We start from the raw sequence: 22,801 nt of genomic DNA on the forward strand, positions 1-22,801 counted from the left end.
AACAAGGCCCCGAACAGGCCGGGAAGCCCAGGCCGCCCCTCCCCAGACTCCCATCCCCTACCCAGCCCCCGAGGAGCCCCATTTGCAGGTCAGAGGCTCCCCCGAGACACCAAGAAGAAAAGGGGGCCCCTCTTCCACAGCTGCTACCGTTGCCAGCCTCCCCGAGGCCCAAGGGGGGTCTGGAGCCACTCTGAAAGGCCACCGGGCGCCAGGGGGTTCATTCAGCTGTTTTCGGGTGGCTCCAATGAGTTCATTTTACCACGGCAGAATATTAAACAGCTCCTGGGGAAGCAGATGCTGGGCTTTGGTTTCAGAGCGAGGGAGAGAGGGAGGCCGCAGGCCAGCGAGGGGAGAATTCAAGCTCTGCTTCAGGCGACTCCAAACCTTTCAAGGCTCAGCTGGGCCCGAGTCATGGGAGTGCACCGTGCAGAGCCCAGGCTGGGGCCTCACGTGCTCGCCGCACTTAGTCCTCACCGCCTCCCTATGCCCATTTCATAGCCGAGGAAACTGAGACATAACGTAGCATTGTGACTCACTCAAGGCCATACAACAAGAGAGGATGCTAGGACCCAAACCCTAGGCCCCAAACATCATCTTGGTCCATTTATTTATTTATTCATGAATGATAGAGTCTCGCTCTGTTGCCTAGGCTGGAGTGCAGTGGCACAATCTCAGCTCACTGCAACCTCTGCCTCCCGGGTTCAAGCAGTTCTCCTGCCTCAGCCTCCCGAATACTGAGGCACAGACACACGCCACCATGCCCAGCTAATTTTTGTATTTTTAGTAGAGACTGAGTTTCGCCATGTTGGACAGGCTGGTCTCAAACTCCTGAACTCAGGTGATCCACCTGCCTTGCCTCCCAAAGTGTTGGGATTACAGGCGTGAGCCACCGCGCCCGGCCTTGATCCTTTGATGTACATGAGTATCTCTCGCCACCCCCACGGTGCCCTCTCAGTGGTAGGGGCTCAGGGGCAGACACAGAGCAAACGGCCCCCTGGACAAACCTGCAGCTGCCAAATGCTTCACCTCCCGTGTGCCCAGATTCCCCCCAACTCTGCAGAGAAATGATCCCACTTTCCATTATTCTAATAATAATCCCTGAGGTCTAAAGAGCTCTCTGGGAGAATGCAAAACACGTCTGGGCAGATCGCTTCCTCTATACTTCACCGTCGTGAACGGGGATATTCCAGACAGGGCAACAGAGGCCTGGCCAGCAAGATAGATTCTAAGGCCACTGCCCAGTTAAAGGCAGAGCCATGAAGCAAATCTCCCTCCCCTCGCCCTGAAGACTTGAGGTCCACGCTCATCCCACCAACTGAAGAAGCTGGCATTTCCTCCCCACCAGAGGGAGCACAGAGAGGTGAAGCAACTTGCCCAGGGCCACACAGCCCCAGGTCGGAGGTCCACCCCACGGGTCAGACTAGGGCAGGGCCTCCTGCTTTCAGCTCCCACTGGGAACCCCCACCCTCCTGGCTATCCACGGAGGTGTTGATTATCACATGGGGTTTCTTCCCTCAGAGACTTCCTTGGTACCTACATTTTTTTCCTCCAATATTAGGAATAAATGATAATAATACCAATTAATGTGCACTGAAGTTTCCCAGGTGCAGGTCATTGCTGGTGAGTCTTTCTGCGCATGAACGGGTTTCGTGCCCGCAGAACCCCAGGGGGTTGACACTGCCATCATCCTCATTTCACAGATGAGGAAACTGAGGCTTAGACATAGCAACAGTCGTGACAATTCCATAAGGGCCCTGTGTGCCAGGGGCAGCTCTGCCAGGTACCAACCTAAGCCACTGGCAGACTAGACCCCCTGTCACCCTGACAATACCCAGGCCAGCTATACCCCCTCCTGAGCCCCCCATATCACAGACCATCCAGCTTGCATAGCCCCTGGGCAACTCCACAGGTGATGGGGAGCCGGTAGGTGGGAGGCCCCAGTTCTGTGCTCTTGTTCCTGCTTCCAGGGGCTGGTGATGTCTCATGCTGAGGAGCAGTCAGACCCAGTGGGCAGAAAGAATGGGGGATACATCAGGCTTTGCCATATGTCGGCTGTGCTCTCAGGCAGGTCCCTTCTTTCTCTGTACCTCGCCCTCCTCATCTATAAAATGGGTCCACAGCGGTAGCTGCTTCACAGCGGCTGGAGGGTGCTGTGGGTGACATGGCACATGCTCCACCCTCCAACCTGGCCCCCCGCCCTTTCGATGGCTACAGAATGATGGAAGGAATCCAAACACTGTATGTGAGTCAGGCTTCTTCTCTGACCAGACTCCAGAGGGTGGGAGTGGCCAGGGGTTCTTGGTACGCAGGAATCGAGGGTTCAGAACTGGGAAAGATGGGCCTCGCGTCCACTCCAACCTATTAGCAGCTGGGGAACTCAGCACATCACCACCCCTTCGAGGCCTCGTTTTCCCCATCTGTAAATGGGGCTATCTCCTGGGATGCTGACGAGGTTATAGCAGTGCATACCGCCGTGGCCCAGCCTGCCCTGTGTGACCACATGCATATGAGTGGCATCTTGCTCCTGGTCCGGAACACACCCACAGGTGCTCAGGACGTGCTGATGGAACCAAAACTCCCGCTTCACACTCTCCTAGGTGATGCTGCTATGACTGCCCTGTCCCACCCCAGATGTGATTTGTAGCTTAAAATCCTGAAAAAGGAGTCCAGGTGCCAGAGTCCCCTCCGACTCTAATGAAGAGAGGGGAAAGAAGTGCCCAGTATCCTTGAACCCAGAGGCAGGGCCTGGGCCCCAAAGGGTTAAGCTCAGCTCCGCTCTCTCCCCGAATGGAATGGCACCGACAGCAGCTGAGGCTGCCCCTCTGCTCCCTGCCGCCTGAAGCCTGACCCCTGACATTTCTACTCCCAGCCGCACTTGCATTTAAAAAAGGGAAGGAAAAAAAATCTAACCATCCACACAGACAAACAAGTTGGGCAGAAGGGAGGGGGAGCCACAAGGAAGCAGTGGGGGCTGCAAATTTCCTTTAGCGGAGTTCAGTTCACCCAAAAAAAATTTTTTAAGACCTAGAAGGGAGGCAGAAGGGGAGATGGGAGAATTCAAAGGTGGCAGACAAGTCCTCCGGAATCACCGGGCACCACTAAATTTTCTGATTAATTAACCCTGAAAGGGGCCTCTCTCCCGGCTCTTCCTGGGGGAGGCTCTGGCTAGAAGAGTTTGCAGTGGGGCAGGCTCTCTTGGGGGATTCACTTAGAGGTCCCAGGGGGAGCTCAATCCCGTCTCGAGGACGCGCTGTAGTTAAAGCCAAGGCTGATAAGGAATTTATCAAATGAGATTTACACAGGGAAACCCTAATTAAGAGGTTAGTCTCCAGTTTAATTGCCTTCAAACCTAGGCAGGCAGGCCCAGGCAGATGGATTTTCAGTCTGACCTCATTAAAAAATAATAATAATCAAATAGAATACAGAGCACAATCCAAAGTCTACCACAGGGCTAAGAAGGGCGGAGGCTGGGGGGTGGCTCTGAAAGGGCGGGCCTGGCCTGACCTAGAATCTGCCGGTCACCTCGGCTTGGCTGTTTTTCCCCCACCCTCTCCCTCTTTCTCCTCTCTTGAAATTCAGTGGTTCTGGCCTCCCCACTTTTTGAGGTTTTTTTTTTCCTCCCCTAGCCCCATCTCGCCTTGAAGCTGGCATGCTGGAATATAAATTGGAAGCATACATGCCCCCCCTCACCCGCCCCAACTCGGGCGGACGCCACATACCAGACAAAACGACTGCAGGCCTGGTCATCTGGGGTTAAGAATGGTTTTTGTTTTTGGCAAAGAATGTGGAAGAGCCCAAAGGAACTGGCCAGGACGATTGTTCCAGAAATGAAAGGGAGAGAAGAAAAAGGAGAGGAGGGGGAGCCGGTGGGGGAGAGGGAGACAGAGCAAACACCTGGGGAACCAAAGCCTGAGAGATTTTTCTGTCCCCCAGGAACTGGCATGCAAAAAGTTTTTGCCTTGGTCTTTAAAACGCAAGGGAGGGCATGGGTATTCCCCACTCTCTACAAATAGGATTTTGCTCCCTACAATCCCTTTACCGCCCCACCTTTATTTGATTAAACCCTAAATGAACACTTGAGGCAGACAATCACAAGAGATTTCTTCCGAAAGCAAAATCGAGATGAAACCTCCGGTCAAATGGGTTTGCTCACCATAGCGTGGATTTGGAGAGAGACGCAAGCAAGAAGAAAAGTTCTGGCTGGGTGCAGCATCTCACGCCTGTAATCCTAGCACTTTGGGAGGCTGAGGAGGGAGGATCGTTTGAGACCAGGAGTTCAAGAGCAGCCTGGGCAACACAGCAAGACCCCATCTCTATGAAAACATAAAACATTAGCCAGGTGTGGTGGCACACACCTGTAGTCCTAGATACCCTGGAGGCTGAGGTGGGAGGATCGCGTGAGCCCAGGAGTTGGAGGCTGCAGTGAGCTATGATGGTGCCCCTGCACTCCAGCCTAAGTGACAGAGCTAGACCTTGTTTCTAAAAAAAAAAAAAAAGAGAGAGAGAAAAAAAAAATAAAAGTCCAGCCCAGCACTGTGGCTCATGCCTGTAATCCCAGCACTTTGGAAGGCCAAGGTGGGCAGATCACTTGAGGTCAGGAGTTCAAGACCAGCCTGGCCAACATGGTGAAACCGTGTCTCTACTAAAAATACACACACACACACACACAAAATATTAGCTGGGCGTGGTGGCGCATGCCTGTAATGCTAGCTACCAGGGAGGCTGAGGCAAGAGAACCGCTTGAACCCAGAAGGCGGAGGATGCAATGAGCCGAGATCACGCCACTGCACTCCAGCCTGGGCCACACAAGTGAGACTGCATCTCCAAAAAAAAAAAAGAAAGAAAGAAAAGAAAAATTCTACAGGGTACATCATTTTTATCCTGAGTCAGTGACCCAGGCTGATGACAAAGCAGTGGGAACAGCTACCAGGGATTCCTACCCACCAGGCACAGCTTTTAAGGGCTACACATGGTTTGTCTGGTAACTGCCCGTGGAGAACCCGTCACCATATATATGCAGAGTAGAAGGTGTGATTAATGCGCTCTTAAATATTATTAGCATTGTTGCCGTGATTTTGAGGAGTTTCCCAACACTAACGAGGGACTGATTTTTCCAGCCCTACACAAACAGGGAATCTAAGAAGTGGGTATATGGGGCCAGGGTATTTAAAACTCTAAGGAGTTCCAGAAAATGCACAATTTTTGTCTCAGATTCATTTTCTCACTGGTTGGCGTTGTAACACATCTAGCCGTTGAGGGAATTTCTGCCAGCTGCCGCGGCCACTTTCTCTTTCCTGAACGGCACCCAAGACCACCCTCCTAAATTCCGCAGGCAAATCTCTCACTGCCCACTGGAGAATGAGCCATCCCACAGGGGGACGCCCACTCCTCTCCACTTCATGCAACGTGTCATCCCCCTCCCCTCACAGGTTCCCGATGCTTCCTGTGCAGGAGGAGAAGCATCTGTATTTATGCCAAGGCTTAGTGACGTCTGCAATGTGCCAGACGCTGGGCGGAGTGCTTTTCATTATCTGTCTTAATCCTCGCCACGACCCCGTTTAACCCAAAAGACAGATGAGGAAACTGAGGCCCGGGGCAGTAAGGAGATCAGTCCAGTGGAAGGCCACAGGCCTGGCTTCCTGCACTGTCCTCCTCCCCGAGGTCTGGGACGTAAAATCTGACTCCAATGCCTAGCCATCAGGTGACTAATGGAGGAAATGTGAGCATCCTCGTGTAGCCCACCACAGTCAGGTGGGCCCTGATGTCTGTAACAAGCCTCACTCGGGTAGGACAGTGGCTGAAGCCCAGACCACAGCGGCCCAGGCAAATGCAACCTACGAAAGCAGAAGCTGGCTAAGACCAGTGTTCTCAAGGATAAGGGAGGAAGAAATGAGGTGGGCGGGGCTGGGACAAGGAATTCCCATACAGGGGCATCCCTTCCTTCCCTACCCACCCCTGCAGAGATGGGGGTGAAGATCCCTGACCCCGAACCAGCCCCATCTGGGTCCATCCCGGTCCCTCTGCAGGAAATCCTCATCACCCCTCCTACACCTCAGGGGCCAAAGGCAGCAGGGTGCCAGGGTGACCATGATGAATGCTGTCTCTGGATGGGGTCCTCACCCCCTAGGCCTGGGACCAGGATAGGATGCACTCCTGCAACAAAGCACCTGTGCTCCCTGGCACTCAGCAGGTACCAGCTATACCGGCAGGCGCTTCCTCCTCACTGGGGTCCTAGGAGATGCCAGAATTGAGCCACTGGATAGAATAGCTGACTGAGGATCAGTGAGGCAGCACGGCCTTGCCCCAATCACATCCCGGCCCCCAGGCTAGGGGTTCGAACCACTGTCCCGTCACCTGTGGGGAACAAATGGGAAGACCTAAACAGCCAACGGCATGACCTGGTGACGGCCATGAGGAGGCAAGACACAGAGTTGGTTTTTATCTCCAGCATCTGTTGGTAGGAAATACAGCTCCTCATCTCCGTGCCCATAAGTGGTTCTAAGCACGGGCTCAGAAAGGCCTGGATATGAATCCACACTGCACCCCTGGGCAGGTCACTTGGCCTCTCTGGGACTCAGTTTTCTCATCTGTAAAATGGGGCTTGGCATGATGGGTGTTTAATAACTGTAGCTTGTTAGGATTCCTTTGCCACTCAGGGAGTTGGGCAGGAATGCAAAAGAAAAGCTGCCAGAAAGTGAACGCCAGGCCTGGGTCACCCAGGGGCCCAGGCCTCCACACCTCCTCGGGCTGGCCCCAGCTGGGCCTGTGCCTTCCTGTCGGGGTGACCTCTGCAAGGCCTGGAGAACAATGCCTGGGGGAAGGAGGAAACAGAGTCTCCCTGGACCAGGACATAAATTGTGGCCTGCCCAGCTCAGGGAGCCACTGACATGCCCCATGCCCTCCCACCTGTGGTAGGCTGAACCCTTACCTTAGGACCCCAGCACCCTGTCCTAGGGGACAGCCTAACTTGCCCTAACCTATGGCCCAGGGGCTCCAAACCAGAAGGAAAGTTTCTGCCATCTCAGAAAGGGCCAGAACATAGGGAAGGGAAACAGACATTTTCTCAGACACCTTGGGCTCAGATGAAGCACCGTTCAATGCACATCTACTATGTGCCGTCAGATCCCAGCCTGTCTGTGCTCCACACCCTCCCCTGGCTCCCGGCCACACTTTAGAATGGACTCCAAACTGCTAATCTGACCGTGCCTACAAGCCCCGAGCAGTCGGGCCCCTGCCTGCCTGAACTGTCTCTCCCCTCTCACCAGCAATGCCTTTTTCCTAAAATAGGCCCACTCCCCGTCCTGCCTTAGGACCTGCCCTCACTGTCCCCTTGCCCAACCCACTTCCTGCAGAGCTTGATACAGCTGGCTCCAGGGTGCCGGAGCCCATTGTTAAATATTCAGGAATTTTGCAATCCGGCTGACAGCTGACATCACTTTGGTGGCTTGAAATTAGGAGTATTTACACCACGGGAATCAGCAGATGCTGCATATCAGAGCATTTATTTTTCTCTCCCCCTACCCCAGAGAGCCAGGTGTTTAAAAGTAGAATCACCAGAACACTAGTGGCTGGCTCCTCGTCATCACTCAGGGATTCTACTTCACTGTCACTGCCTCTCAGAGACCTTCCTGGTGGCCCAGACTAGGAACTCTCACGCACATCCCCTCTTCTAATTCTCTGCGTTCTTCTTTGTTGTCTGTCATTCTGGCCCCTCCCCTAGAATGTAAACTCCATGAAGGCAGGGCATTTGTCTTTCTCCCCACTGCATCCCACCACTTAGAACAGCATCGCCATGTGGTTAAGTGCTTGGGAGTGTTTGTTGAATGAATAAATATGCCAGCCCTCTTGAATATAGACTATACTGCCTAGAAAGTTTTGAGTATTTTTTTTTTCTTTGAGACAAGGTCTCACTTTGTTGCCCAGGCAGGAGTGCAGTGGCGTGATCACAACTGACTGCAGCCTCAACCTCCCAAGCTCAGATGATCCTCCCACCTCAGCCTCCCAGGTAGCTGGGACTACAGGTGTGCGCCACCATGGCCAGCTAATTTTTTGTGTTTTTTGTAGAGACAGGGTCTCACTTGTTGCCCAGGCTGGTCTCGAACTCCTGGGCTCAAGTGATCCAGCAGCCTTGGCCTCCCAAAGTGCTGGGATTACAAGCATGAGCTACCATGCCCAGCCCTGAGTATTATTTTGAACCTAACCTCAATCACTCACTGTAGTTCAGAGTTTCTCAATCTTAGCGCTATTCACATTTGGGCCTGGAAAGGAGAGTAGTGAGGCCTGTCCTGTGCATTGTAGGACATTGAACAGCATCCCTGGCCTCCACCCATCAGGGACCCATAGCATTCTTCCTCCCTGCAGCCACGACAACCAAAGATCTCTCTAGACATTGCCAAGTATGCCCTGGGGGGGGCAATATTGCCCCAGGGTGAAGAGCATTCCCACTACCCTGTGGGAAGGGTGTTACTCTTCCCAGTTTGTAGCCAGGGACACTGAGGCCCAGAGAGGAACTGGACATGTCCAAGAGTCCCACATGGGAACAGAATAGCTACCTTCTGGCTGACACCAAAGCCCATGCTCTCACCAACCTGTCCAGATGCTCAGGCCCCACAGCAACCCTCTGAGAGGGTCCCAAGAATTATACCTATGTAACAGGTGAGGAAACTGAGGCTCAGAGAGGTGAATCACCTGCCCAGAGTCACACAGCACACGAGTGGCAGAGCCAGGATTCGATCCCAGGCTTGTCTGCCTCCTAAACCCTCCCACTATCTCCTGGGGCAGGGACGCTCATTCACTCTCAAGCTCTCTCTCTCTCTCTCTCTTGCTCTTGCTATCTCTGTTCAGCCCGAGCCTGCCAGGTTCCTGAGGCCCCACCTGAGTTGCCAGACGCAGGGGTTTAATTTTTCTATTGCTGGCTCCCAGACTGTTTATGGTTGACTCGGGCTCCTGGCAAAATGATCAGGGGCCGCGGACCAGCTCATCTCATGGATTCCCTCCACAAGAAGGCTGACCATTACTCACACATATCAGGGAACTATTCCTTGGGGGGCACAGGGAGAGCTGTCGGGTGGTAAAAAATACCTTGGCGCTACCATCCCACTGCTAGGAACACGTGCCCGATGGTGGCAGGCTGTGACCAGACCACAGGGTCTGAATGCCCCGAACAAGGAGAAGGTCTGCACATATAATCCTCCCCTCCCTTCCCCGGCCCCACACCGGCCCAATAGTGAGGCCTGAAATTGCTGACGCAGGGGCAGTGGGTCCCAGCCCGGCCCCGCCCTATGACATTGTGACATTTACTGAGCAAGTCCCCAGTGCCAGGCCCGGGGCTAAGTGCCTGAAGTACAGCCTGGCATCGTTTCCCCTCCAGCCGGCACCACTTGCAAGCCAATCTGTGCCTTTCATTTCTTCATCCCTAAGATGGGACAAACAATAGCGACAATGCCACCATGCACTTCCTAGGTTCACTGATGCCCTATATACGAACCACCTGGTATATAGTCAGTGCTCAGTAAAATCTGGTGCTGGCATATAGTACTTTCTCTGTGTTAAGCAGGCTTCTGAGTATCAACTCATATATATATTAACTTGCTGAATCCTTCTAGCCCCATGAGGCGGGAACTATTATTATTCTCTTTCACCGATGAGGAAATGAAGGAACAGAAAGATTAAGTAACCTGCCCAAGGACACACAGCCAGGAACTGGAATTGCTGGGGTTTGAACCCAGGTAGTCTGGCTTCAAAGCCTGTGCCCTTAGTCACATAATTATAATGCTAGCTAAAACATACTATTTGGTCCTCACAATATTTCTGTGAGGTACACACTTTTTTTTTCCTCTTGTCAATTTTATCTATGAGGAAAGAAAGCTGGGAGCAGTGAAGTGGCTTGTCTGAGATCACCCAGCTCGGAAGAATCAAAACGCCAGGGCTGAAACCCACAGCAACCATCTGACAGGCTATGGTGCTACTGCGGCTTCCCCAAGGTCAAGAATTCTCTCCTGCACGATGTCCACCTCCACAAGAGGAAGGGAACAAGGGTTGCCATCACCAACCACCAACCAGGGGATGTACGTCGTGCTGCTTTTTTTTTTTTTTTTCTTGAGACAGAGTCTTGCTCTGTTGCCCAGGCTGGAGTGCAGTGGTGTGATCTTGGCTCACTGCAACCTCCACCTCCAGAGTTCAAGCAATTCTCCTGCCTCAGCCTCCTGAGTAGCTGGGATTACAGACACCCACCACACCCCACTCATTTTTGTATTTTTAGTAGAGATGGGATTTTACCATGTTGGCCATGCTGGTCTCGAACTCCTGACCTCAGGTGATCCACTTGCCTCAGCTTCCCAAAGTGCTGGGATTACAGGCCTGAGACACCGTGCCCGGCCCTGTCATGGTGCTTTTTAAAAAGGCTTGGAAACCTCTAGTTTAAGACCCAGTTCTGGTCTGCACGAGGCTTAGCCAGATAAAATCAAATCCTAGCTCTCAGGTGAGGGCATTAAGGGGCAGGAAGGGAAGCCCAAGGCCAAAGGTCAACTATAGTCCTGTCCTGGCTCTGCGCCTGTGCTGTGTGACCTTGGCCAAGTTGCCTGCCCTCTCTGGGCTTTCGTTATCTCAACTGGAAAATGTTGTAGGGGAGGGGCACAAAAAACAGGAGAAGGTCTTTCCCATTCTAGAATTCTACCTAAACTTTCACATCAGTGCCATATTGATAGTGAAAAACCACAAGCTTGTGTTTTAGATGTTCACCTACTACAATGTCACAGGGTCTATCACTGTCAAGTCTGGACGTCTAAGCTGCCAAGGCGAGTCCGAATATCTCCACGTACACACACCCAGGCAGGGAAAACTGGGTCAGCAGACACTGGCCCATGGCGGCCAGTGCAACAAGCTCTCAAAGACTTTCCACGATGATGCCGCCGCAGGCTCCTGCTGGTCTGCCTGAAGTCAGCCTTCTAAGAAGTTCTGAATTTCCATTCCTCCCAAAATGGCCACAGAGGCCTTGGCAGAGAGCCGGCCCCTGAGAACTGCCCCTCAGAGGGTACTCGGGAGCTGGAAGCAGCCCCTTTCCCAGAAGTCGTATAAAGGGGAGCAGGACTGGGGACCCTGGATCTCCCCTGCAGTCATACAGAAGCCAGGAGCAGGGGATGCACCTAGGGGATCACAGGCACTCCCAGGGAGCAGGGAACTGAGCCTCCTCCCAGGCCAGGCCAGGCCTGAGTGCACACGGCTCAGATTTCAGGACCAGTTTCTCTGTTTGTTGAAACCGCCAAACACCCCCATATCCACCCAAAATGTGGGCAAACCCAGCCTTTCTCTCTATTTCAGCCTCAATGTGGATGGACTGTCAAAAAACACAACCGCCATTACCATCCGCTACACAATCTAATGTCAAAAATCTCAGACGCAGAGGAGGGAAGGTAGGGGCCTGCTGAGAACTAGGACACCAGTTTTTGCAGGCTTAAAAACAGATCAATTTTACTCTAAAGTTTAAAATGAAACATGCTCTTGTTTGGGGAAAGAATTTCATTAGGGGGAAAATATAATATAAAAATACCCATTTAGAAAGAATGTGCTATTAATTCTTAGCACTCTATGCAGAGGGGAAAATTGCATTTTTATCTAAATGGTTTTTCTGCATAAGCCATTTACAATATTCTTTGCCTGTCTGTAATAGGCCCTGCTACCATTAGTACTGGGACAACCAGGCTGAGGGCTGAAATCGCCCTCAAACACATTTAATACATAACCTCTGAAAATCTATTCCAACAGGGACCTTAGCGAACAGGCCGGCATTCCTTTTTTTAAGGAAGAAATAAATACTGCTGGGTTGTGGGTCGGGGGGAGTTGGGGAGTGGTGTGCTGATGCCGAAGGAAGGGACAAGATGGTTTAAGTTAAAAACAAATGGTATGAGTCCCTTTAGCCAGATGTAAAATTGCAATCGTTTTTTGGTTGGACGATTGCAACTATTTGATCGCCGGCATCTATATAGATGTGCGTGCTGGCATCCGCCACACACACACACACACACACACACACACACACACACACACGGGTTTCCATCAAACAAGCAAACAAGGAAAGGATGAAATTTGGGATATGAAAACAAACTATTTTTAAACGCTAAAGCAAACACACCAAGATAGTAATACTGCTATTTTCCCATTAAACCAAGTTTGTCTCAATTTGAAAAGCGAGAATAATCTAAACAATACTTCCAAACAAACTGCTCGGAGTCTGGGTGTTGTGGCCTCCGCCGTTCCTAACAACGGAAAAACCCCCTCTGTCGAGAAGCAAAAACACAGGCAGGGATGGGGCCGGCCGCTTCTCCACGTCCGGCCACGTCGCACCAAAGGAGTCCTCCCCCACATCTTACGCCTGGACGCCAAGACGTCTCAAACTTAAAAATGCAATACTTTTTCTTTTTTCCAAAAAGTTTTTTTAAAGTCTTCCAGCTCTTTCTCTCTTCGATTCCCAAAATAACTACTTACTTAATACCAAATGTTGGGGAACTAAATTAGTTCATTAAGGAAATGCAGGGGCCGTGATGGGCACCGAGCGTGGGGGCTCTTGCAACTTCGCTGCCATAAGCCAGAACGCCTCTGGCTGCTCTCTTCCGGCTTTACCTAGCCCATAAATTCTTCCTTTAAAACCAGGAGTCTAGAAATGTCATAATTATAGCTGATACAGGTAACAGGTGTGCCCCCCCCCCATGGCCCCTCCCAGCCCCACCACGGCCATCCAGACAAGCCTCTGGAAGATTTAGTGGTCTTGCCTGGGGTGTCGTAATTACCGGAAACGACTCCAGTTTTAAGGGTTAGATAAAGACCCTCTCCAAATTTAAGGCCAGACACCAATGTCCATTAGACTTTAACGGGCCCACATAAAAAAAGAAATTGTATCCTCATCTCTCCAAATGCCTGTTTCCTCAGCGCCTTCAGTTCATTTCAGGCTGGCTCAGCGCCGCAAAGACTCCGTCTGGCCCTCACTCTGCAAAGGCAAGGCCTTGGTGGGAACCGACGAGATGAGCGAGGAATTAAGCAAATGGTGGGGGGTGCCGAAAACACCATTTCTCAAAAACTGTTATGGCCGAACCCTGGCATTTTGATGGTTGTTTTTTGAGTGGAATTTTAGCCCATCTTCTGAAGGCAGAGAGACAGGAAGGCTGTGGGGAGCCCAGAGAGGAAGAGGGGGGCCCCCCAAAGAAGCCAGGCTGAAGTGCTCGCACCATCAAAATGACACATGCTCCCCTTTACAGACTCAGTGTTAGGAAAGGCCAAAGCTGAGGGCTGTTTTGCTTTGTTATTCCTTTTCTCAGCTTCCGAGACTTATGCATACTTTTTCTTCCTTCTTTGGAAGTCAAACGATGCATTTCTTAAAAGTTAAACACACACACACACACACACACACATCCTCCTACCACCACCACCACCATGTGTCAAGGAAGCAGCATAAAAGGTACTGCAAAGAGGTTGAAGATTCCCAACTGTCCACCCATGTGCAGAGACCTCTGGCCCACACGAGTGCTCAACTCCCAGTCAATTAAGAATTAATGCTGGGAAACTCTCAGGGTCGGAGAACCAAGGCACCAGAAGGAAGCCCGTGTTCTTTGGCCGTCTCCAAGGTTCTGGGAGGCTGGGTTTGCTCAACGACTGGGCTTTTTCTCCCTCCTCCTGGACGAGTGATGGTGAAAGGCGCCACTCGCCTCCTCTTCCTGTCCTGAGGAGGTGGTGGGAACCTAGACTACTGGTGGCCATTATTCTATGCCAGGCAATCCGGGCCCATTAATGCCCGTGCGCACACACACACACACACACACACTTCTAATCCCAGCAAAATGCTTCACAGGCGCTGAGCACAAAATAAATGCTTATTAACTAAACTGACCCAAAATAGTGAAATGTACAAGTAAATTAATCATGCCTTTCCCGGAGGCCTAACAGGATTACAAATTCGGCAAAAATTGACCGCATGGAGATCAATACGCGTCTACTTCAAACTGAACGAGGCCAAAACTTTGCATGAGCTTCTTCTTGGGGGAGAAAATTATTTATTCATTTCTTATTAAGACTTCTCAGGCCTGTGTGGTATGTGTGCACGTGCACGTGCGTGTGTGCACGCAAGCAAAGCCCGGCAAAAGGCATTCAAAGCTTTCTGCCCAGACAATTTAGAAATAGTCATGGCATAAGGATCGTGAAATTGCTCCTGTTCTAAAAAGCCAAATTTTGATCTGCAGCCTCCCTTCCTTCAAATACTAAACAATCGCCAAAAGTTACATTGCAGGGGATGAAAATGGCCAATTTGTTTTTAGTCAATTAGGTCTCACTGCAAAAGCATTAAGGGCTTCTGAAGGCTGGACCTGGGGTCTCCTGGAAGGGAGGAAAGAAGAGACTCTTAATTTCTCCAGCTCCTTTCCACACTTGGCTTATCTCAAGTCAGGGAAATCTTCCTCTTGCTGGATTTGTCACTTACTTTGGTCCCCTTTTTGCCTACCATTCAGAGAAAGGAAAAATATATATATTGTGTGGGAGGGCATCATGGGGCACACTTGCATTTCAAGGCATTGGGACCTGCCTACAAGGTCTGTGAAAGCCAAGATCATCCCTGAGGGTCTTGCTAGGAGGGAAGCCTTAGTGGCCACCTTACAGGATCACCAGGGGAAAGGTCACTCCCTTTTCCCACCCCCATCATCCCTCTTTTATGGAAGGATCTGGGCCTCAAGGGACCAGCTCCTCTGCAGGAATTGGCCACAGGCACGTCTGGGTCCTGACCTACCCAGGGCCCATCTGGGTCTTCATCCCCTTGAGCCTGCCTCGGCCACTAACTCAACAGAAACGGGTCCTGACTGCTAACAGACCCACAATGCGGTCATCCAGTCTCAGGCTGGGTCCTCCGGATCTACCTCCCCCATGCATGTGCAGCGATGTGGGAGCCCCGAGCCCCACAGGGAAAGCTTGGGCAAGAACCTTCTGTCCTTTGTGACGGCCGACACCAGCCGCCAAGTAATTCATACACCCTCAGCCTAGCCCAGGTGATGTTGTTATAAATGAATTCCACATTTATAAATTATTTTCCACTCGCGAACCCCAAGAGTCAGTAAACGACACTTCAACTCATGTTGACGCATTTCTCCCTGCCCCATCCGTCCCTCTGCCATGCCCCTATCCTGAGAAAATACGCCGCACCCCAATTTCCATCTAGTCTTCCTCACTGGAGGTGCTTCTCTCTCTGCCTTCTGATTTATTTGGAAATGAGGACCTACAGTGTCCACATCAGGATCGGGGCCCTAAAACTTGCAAGGACGCTTTCAAACAGCACACAGGGACCAGGAAGAACCCACTAACTTCTCAGCAAATTCTCAACCAACCCCTGCTTTCTCTGGAAGACTGAGCTTTGGGGATTTCAAAGCAGGCTAGGTTTTCTGCCGACTTCCCCACCCCTTCTCTGATCATAAGATGGTCCCTCAGAAGTATTTTACTCCTGGTGGTCGCTGCCAATCACTCAACAATGCTTGTGTTCCAAGATCCAAGGGCGTCTGAAAACACTGCTTCACAGTAACTGAAAAGGGTCATATCTTTTTTTTTTTTTTTGACATCTCATCCTTCCCTGAATGACTGGATGAGCAAGAAGTTATGTGTGTGTGTGTGCACGCGTGTGTGTGTGCACGCACGTGTGTACGCATGTGCGCATGCGTGGAGGGGTTCACTTATTAACTGTCATCTCACGTTCCAGGAGTTCCCAAATAGGACCAAGAAAACCAGACCAGGCACACTGGGGCCCTCAACTTTGACGCAGAGAGATTTCTCCTAGTCATACCACGCAAAACGAGTGGCATCAGAAAGACCCCCCCAGACGGTGTCACTCCAGGGAAATTTTTGTCCCAAGTGTTGAGATCAAACAAAACCATCATGCCCAAAACTCTTTAAATTCTTCTCAGCACTGAGAAGAAAAAAACTACTTTTAAATCCTCACAATTGAATGCATCAACGGGCCACTTAGTTCTCATGAGTCAGGCTGCTCGAAGAGCGAGCAGGAAAAACAAAGCTGCAAGGGTGCCTCAGCACCAAAGTTAGTCCACGTTTCCTCCAAAGACATGACCATGGCCATATACTTCTGAGTAACTATGCAGATTGTTTTTGAGACATGCAGGATAAAAACAAGACCTGGTTCTCTTGTGGGTATCTTTGAAGTCCCCAACTTTCCAAAGATCTTCTATAGCAATGGGTCCCAAATACGCCTCCGCCAAGGGGTCTCCCTGTTTCCCTAAACTATTTCCCAACACACCTTGCATCTCCCAAACCAAATACCAGCATAGGTAAGTCAAACTGTAGCCCAAGAAACCGAGATAGACAGAAGGAGCAAAATCCTAGGAGCAAACATTTTGGGGGAGTCCAAGATTTTCCACAGAGAGATCAAAGATGGGAATAAGATGGAAGCTTCTGGGCACATAGTTGATCCTATAAACTCCAGGGGAAGTAGGGCAAGGTGAGTTCGCTGGACTCAGAGCTTTCAAGATGAGAACACGAAAACGTGATTTCCCTCAACAATGTGAGTTTATATGGGGATGTTTATTGGGGAATTTTTTCTCCCTTTTTGGACAAGTCCATTCCATGGAAGATGTTCCTTCTGGGACATTCACAGAGAGCCAGCATGTTATTACAAATGCTCTAAGACCTCCAAACTGCTAGATTCAGTTGCCTTATGTTTAAAGGGCATTTGGGTCCCTACGATGATGCGTAAATCGTGAAAAGATACGCATGCAATCACTATAAAGTTCTCTCTGCTCCGGCTTCTCAAGGAAGTGGTGATTATGAAATCCCACCAGCTTTCTCAGCCTAGAGAGAATGACAATTTGGGATGCTGTGGCTAGGACAAGTCCTGACTCAGGAGGTACCTAGGGTGCCAGTCCAATATGGTCTTGTCAGGCCCAAACTGGAAGCTATCGGGAACCCAGTTTCAACCCCTTGGATTTCAAGACTGGGAGAAACCCGTGGCCATTTCTCCCCTCTGTGCCCTTTTGGGCAAACACCGGGTTGGGAGCAGATACTTCACTGGCTGCTCAAACCTCGGAGGCTGCTGATTAAAATGAAGGCCGGCACACAAAGCGGGTCTCAGCATCCTATAATAATTACATCCCGAGAACATGATGCCTTTCAAAAGTCCCTCCCCACACAAGTAAATGAAACTTAACTCTGCTTCTCAATCCTGGTCACAAAATAAGTTTGGAGGTTTTGCCCCCTGAAGCGCACACTTGGCAGGGTATCATCTCACCCACGCTCTGCAAAGCGGCTGATCACCCAGGTGAGGCTGCATGCTGTCCTGTCATCGGAAGATGGCAGGAAATGACCAGGGCCACCTTCGTGCGGGGTGACCCATCGGGCACAATGTGCCAGGATCCCAGAACCATCTCTCCTTTTGAGGCCTGTTCACAGTTTCTCGGGGCCCTGGGTGGCTCTGAGCTGGGGACTGTGGCTGAGCTGTTCTGCATCAGGACACAGAGGGTCCCTGCAGGCAGGACCATGACTAATTTGAAAGCCCAGTGTCGTCTCCGCCACGTCGTTGGTACAAAAAGATTACAATAAAGGCTAGGAATTTCCATAAATGAGAAGCAGCGTCCGCTTCCCACAACTGGTGGGGGTAGGTGGGGGGGGAGTAAAGAAGGGGAGGGGGCACTGATTCAAAGATTCCTCTCCTGGCAGGAAACTGGTGTTAGCTGAACTCAGCCAGAGAGACACCTCCACGTACGCTCACGCACAAAACCCAGCGAGGGGCGACGTGCGTCTGCTACTGAAATACTCCAGATCAAAGTCACCCACAGCCCAGGAGGCCCGGGAGGCTGAGATTTCGTAATTAGGATCTTCAAAATCCTCCCTCTATTTTTAGGACTCACGCTCATTCAGTCCTTTACAGAATCAGAACCTGTCAGCTAAGGCCATTGAGACTGAAGGGTGAGCTCCTTTCCCCGCTCGCCTTCAGAAAGCAGATTAAGGGTAAACTGGAGGAGTGACTCCAGATTGGATGGAAATACACTCGGCCATGCATATGTATATATGCGGATGCTGGGATGGGGCGAGGGGGAGAGAGGGGGGCTTCTTCACACACTGAACTGCATGGGGCCCTGCTTTGCTCCCCTGAGATACAGACCCAGAGCTTCCACCCACCTCAGCTGTGCTCTTTCGAGCTGGCCCCCAGACCACTTCATTTGGCTCCAGTGTGTGTGAGAAGGCGAGGAGGCTTGAAAAATTTCCTCCAAATGTCCCTCTTCTCAATCACGCACTCATGTATACATCAACATCTCCACCAAGAGCGATCAAATCCCACACTCAAATCTGTCCACCCAAGACGCGCCTAAATATAGACACCATCCTAAAACAAACACATCGTCGGCAAGTCAAAATCCTGACTTGAGTCAAAATGATGAGGTTGGGCGATCCTGGCCCCTCCAGACCAGAGAACTGGGTGGAACAAGCAGCGGGTAGTGAGAAAAGGACAGAAGGTGAAACCACTGGTTGCAGCCCCCCACCCCCTCCGACAAACAGAGGACCGCTCTGGCATGAGAGGATTTGGTGTTTTTATGTTGCGGTGTGCTTGGGAGGCCTGCTTGCTCCCACACACTCCCCAGACATTTGATCCTATTATATAAAGCTACAGCCTTTTAATCTCTAAAAATAACCAAACAGAGGTAAATACAGTATTCCTTACCAAGAGTGTTTATCTCTCCTAAATGCTTTCGGCAAAGCTGATCACTCCCTGGGCAAAGAACACAATCCGACGTCATTGTCATTCAGGTGGAGAGAAACGGGTCACAAGTGATTCTGCTACATTTTCCAGCATAAAGTGAGTTTAGGAGATCCTGTGAAATCCCAGTGACCCACTCAAGTTGGCCCTTCCACAGTGGGAAGAATTTTCCTCCTCTAATTTCACCTGGTCCTGCCGGACTATTTATTAAAAATGTATATTTTATATCAGCACAGGGTATCAAGTAACTTCTTGGCAAGAGTAGCCGCATTTTCAAAACCTATTAAGATTCTTTGTGGAAATTTAAATACCTCTGTCAGGCAAACAAAATCATATCAGGAATCATAGAATTTCCTTGCTAGAAAGAGAAATTAGATTAACTAACTCTCACTCCTTTCCTAGAAACCTCAATAAACTAGAAGTACATTTCAATAGTTCCTTATTTCCGGTCTGAAGGGGCCTCACAAGAAATCTAAATGAATTTATATTAAAGAAAGCTATACTTGAGGAAAGCCCTTCAATCTATAAAAATTGCATATATATATATATATATATATATATATATATATGAATATATAAATATATTTTGCATATTAGAAAGCAATGGCTATTTAAAATCAAAACAGCCAGAAAACCCAGTGGTAGAAAACCATGACAAGTTCAACACTGCCAGCTTTCAGCCCCTTAAAACATCCTTGTCCTTTATTAATATTTAGTAGAAATGTATGATTGCAGATGTGTGTTAGGTTGGGGTTTTATGTCAGGAGGCGGGCAAAGTAGACAGGTTTATTACAGCCATGAAATATTAAACAAGCACCAAAGAACAGTAGTTTGATGTCCTGGGATATCCAGGGAGCAGGGAGGCCCAAACGTCAGCTGCACAAAGGGGGCCCTATCTGTTTACATTATCCCTTATTAACACCTGCGAAGTTTTGGGTTACATCTTCCGGAGGCGCAAAAGTCACATGAAGGCATACAACTCGTGCTGGGTAATTTCACAGGGAAACAGGATTGCAAAGCTCTTTGCCTTCCCCCAAACAAGTTCAAATGAGCCTTAAAAATTCTCTCAGGAAAACAGTGCTTTGCTCTGAGGCTAGGACCTACCTGCCCCCCCGCCCCAAGTCTGCCCTATGTCTAAAGAAATTCCATGTTCAAATCTTGCCTGCCTAGGATTGCTCAGTGCTGTTACTGTGTTCTGACTGCAACACTGAGAGAAGCATGAAATTCCAAAAATTTCTCTGGCATCACTGTAAAAATATCATACTTCCAAAAAGGGCAGGATTGCTTGCAGAGTGTGTACCGAGACTGCTCCCATTTCAATGTATGTGAAAGAGTACTTCAAGACTGCCCTGGGTTTCAAGATAGAGCTACCAGGGGAAAGGAGGTTTGGCAAAGATAAACGTATTACAGAATACGGTTAATTCAACTTTTGAAAATTGTAAGGGGCAGGAGGGGAGAAAACGTACTTTTTCCAACTTAATATGCATTATCTATAATCTATCATTATCTCTCCTCTCTGTGTTGAAATTCTTCCGTAGCCACACACCTATTACAAAGATAGGTGGATGAAGACTATACTTTCAGGGATCATTTCTATAGTGTGTTACAAAGATAGGCGGATGATTTTGCAAACTCTTTTTAAATCCATATAATTCTCACCAATTTAATTGATGTTTGAATAGGCCCAAACTCAGGCTGGGTTTTGTTTTTTGTTTTTTGTTTTTTTCCTTTCCACAATCTCACCCTTCCCCCACCACAACTTTGTACAAATAGAGCCTCATGCTCAGAGGTAAAGTTGCATTATATAAAAGTTGTTGGGTGGGTTGATTAAGAAGTCAAGAGAAGCATGATTTGGAGAGACTAGCTAGATTTCCTGGTTTAAAAAAATCATCATCCCATGTGATGTTGGCCTAGACTTTGCGAGAACGACAACTTGCCAGTCAAGTTCCCTCCCCTCCAAAGGACATCTCAAGCCCATAAGACAATCTGGGCACGTCCCAGTGGCTGCACGCCTTGTACAGTTCTGAAGACTTATTCGTTCCCTCCAATCCGAGCACGGATCATTTTGTTAAATACCGACTAGTATTTTGTCATTGGAGCGAAGAATTTCAGAAACGGTGTTAATATTTAATCACATTAGTACTGGCATGTTTTACGGCGTGACAAAATAAAATATCATTACAAAAATGGGCTTTGCCTGCAAGGGGAGTAGAAAAAAAAATGCTGGGGCTGGTACCTAGAGAAGGTCCATTCAAAGCCATTGGACACCACTGCTCAAGGCTAATGGGACCATGAGCATGTTTTTAAAGGAAAAGCAGAACATTTTGCTATGATTTTTTTTTCTGTCTCTATTTCGAAGTGGCACACTTCACTCTGATTTTCAGTGAGGGGACTCAGGGGCCTGTAGAAAGCTCTGTGTACCTATTTATACAACGTGTGCAGATGGAACTACAGGGTGTTATCATAATGAAAAGTTTAATCATCCTTATTTACTACCAGTAAGGGAGCAGGATTCAGATGCAGATACCTTATAAAGCCTTAACTAGCAACCCCAAGGCTACAGAAGCTTCGAGTGACCTCAATTCGCTGCTTTATCGAGGAAACTGTCCTTCCCACACCACAGAGTAGAAAACAAAGGAGGTCAAGTGGGTGTCCCTGCTGGTGCTTATAAGACAGCCAGCCCTGCTGGTCCCTGATGGAAGTCCCTGTCGCCCCGCATGCAGGGGAGGGCTTCCTTTAGCTTACAGGAGAAATCAACCCTAAAGTGACTAGCATCTGTTTCTAAAAAATATTTTCATTCATCTGACTGTGATGATGACACAAACAAAACATTTCTTTGGTGACATTTCTTCATTCACAGCCTGCATCTTCATCTCTAAAGGAAGGACTGGAAAGGGGATGGGGAGAGACAACTTCTAAAAATCTCATTAAAATGACCCTATACCTGTCCACCTAGTCTATGAAGGCCCTTTAAAAGACTTGAAGATGAAGTGCTACTGTTTTTCTTAAATGGATTCTTTAAATCAGGGTTGTTGTTTTTTTTTTTTTTAACTTTTCTCACCTCATTTTGGCCAATATGTTCTTAATTACTAGGAGTGGGAGGGGAGGATGAGAAGGGGAAGGGGGAGGGGCGGCTAGGCCAGGCCAGGCCAGGTAGAAGTGACAGGGGCTGAGATTTGTGCTAACCAGCTATCGATCGGGCCAGATCGAGATGTCGTGTACAAGAAAATAAAGGGGTGGGGGGAGCAAGCAGGAGGCTGTGTCCAACTCGATTTTAAAAAGGGGGGGAAAAAAGGGAGAAGAAGCTGAGGGTCCCAAACTAACCAATTTATGGCCTTGCCTGGGAGAAGCCTGGAGAATGCTGATGCTGGCCGCAGCGTCTGCTGTGCATGCTAAACACCCGGCTTCAAATGAGAGAGTGCGTCCCGGGCGTCCTGGGCTGGGCAGTAACCGCGGAACAAAGAGAAAAAGCAGAGAGGCCGCATTCATGAATTAGAAAACCTAAGCGGGAAAGCTACCCGGGATGCGCGCCTTGAAAGCCCCAAGTTCTGAACCACCCAACTCCCAGCCCACTCTCGCTTCCTCTCCTCTTGCCTCCCCCAGCCCCCATGCCATTCTCCTAAAACCTACCCTCACCTTAAATCCAGGGTCAAGACATGGCAGGATGTGGGGAGGATGAGGGAAACGAAGGCAGAGGAGGAAAGAACTGTAAAAGAGGGCAAGAATTGCACTGGGGGGGGACACATTTTCAAAAACAAGGTTAAAATGCCAGCCACTGGTTCCATGGTGATAGTCTGTCTAGGGAAACCAAGGGAATTCAACTATAGTTTAAAAGAAAGACATAGAAAGAAAGAAATGATGTTACCTGATTTTAAGAAGCCATTAGATATATATAGATACATATATAGACACACATACCTATATATACACCTATATATATACACACACACACACACACGCACTTTATATACAGACATTTTAAACCTCCATTCAGATAAAATAAATATCTACGGCAACCCAGTCATCCTTAGGTTAAAAAGAACTGTTATTACTTTAACTGGAATGGCAGCC

The 22,801-nt window shown here is 49.5% G+C and overlaps 1 protein-coding gene across 1 annotated transcript in view, besides 3 other annotated features; it reads right to left on the reverse strand.

The window, feature by feature from the left end:
• The window catches only part of MN1 (MN1 proto-oncogene, transcriptional regulator), a 53,480-nt gene that overhangs the window by 24,776 nt on the left and 5,903 nt on the right, over positions 1 to 22,801 (reverse strand). The gene's annotated exons all lie outside the window — the stretch shown is intronic.
• Positions 6,877 to 7,503: an enhancer, noted in NCBI's record as "H3K27ac-H3K4me1 hESC enhancer chr22:28175917-28176543 (GRCh37/hg19 assembly coordinates)". NCBI's record gives its function as "activates a minimal SCP1, AML or CMV promoter by ChIP-STARR-seq in naive H9 embryonic stem cells {active_cell/tissue: H9 hESC(naive)}" and the evidence as "EXISTENCE:reporter gene assay evidence [ECO:0000049][PMID:30033119]".
• Positions 12,345 to 12,872: an enhancer, noted in NCBI's record as "H3K4me1 hESC enhancer chr22:28181385-28181912 (GRCh37/hg19 assembly coordinates)". NCBI's record gives its function as "activates a minimal SCP1, AML or CMV promoter by ChIP-STARR-seq in primed H9 embryonic stem cells {active_cell/tissue: H9 hESC(primed)}" and the evidence as "EXISTENCE:reporter gene assay evidence [ECO:0000049][PMID:30033119]".
• Positions 17,842 to 18,818: an enhancer, noted in NCBI's record as "OCT4-H3K4me1 hESC enhancer chr22:28186882-28187858 (GRCh37/hg19 assembly coordinates)". NCBI's record gives its function as "activates a minimal SCP1, AML or CMV promoter by ChIP-STARR-seq in primed H9 embryonic stem cells {active_cell/tissue: H9 hESC(primed)}" and the evidence as "EXISTENCE:reporter gene assay evidence [ECO:0000049][PMID:30033119]".

Source organism: Homo sapiens, chromosome 22, assembly GCF_000001405.40.
Source record: "Homo sapiens chromosome 22, GRCh38.p14 Primary Assembly".
NCBI lineage: Eukaryota > Metazoa > Chordata > Mammalia > Primates > Hominidae > Homo > Homo sapiens.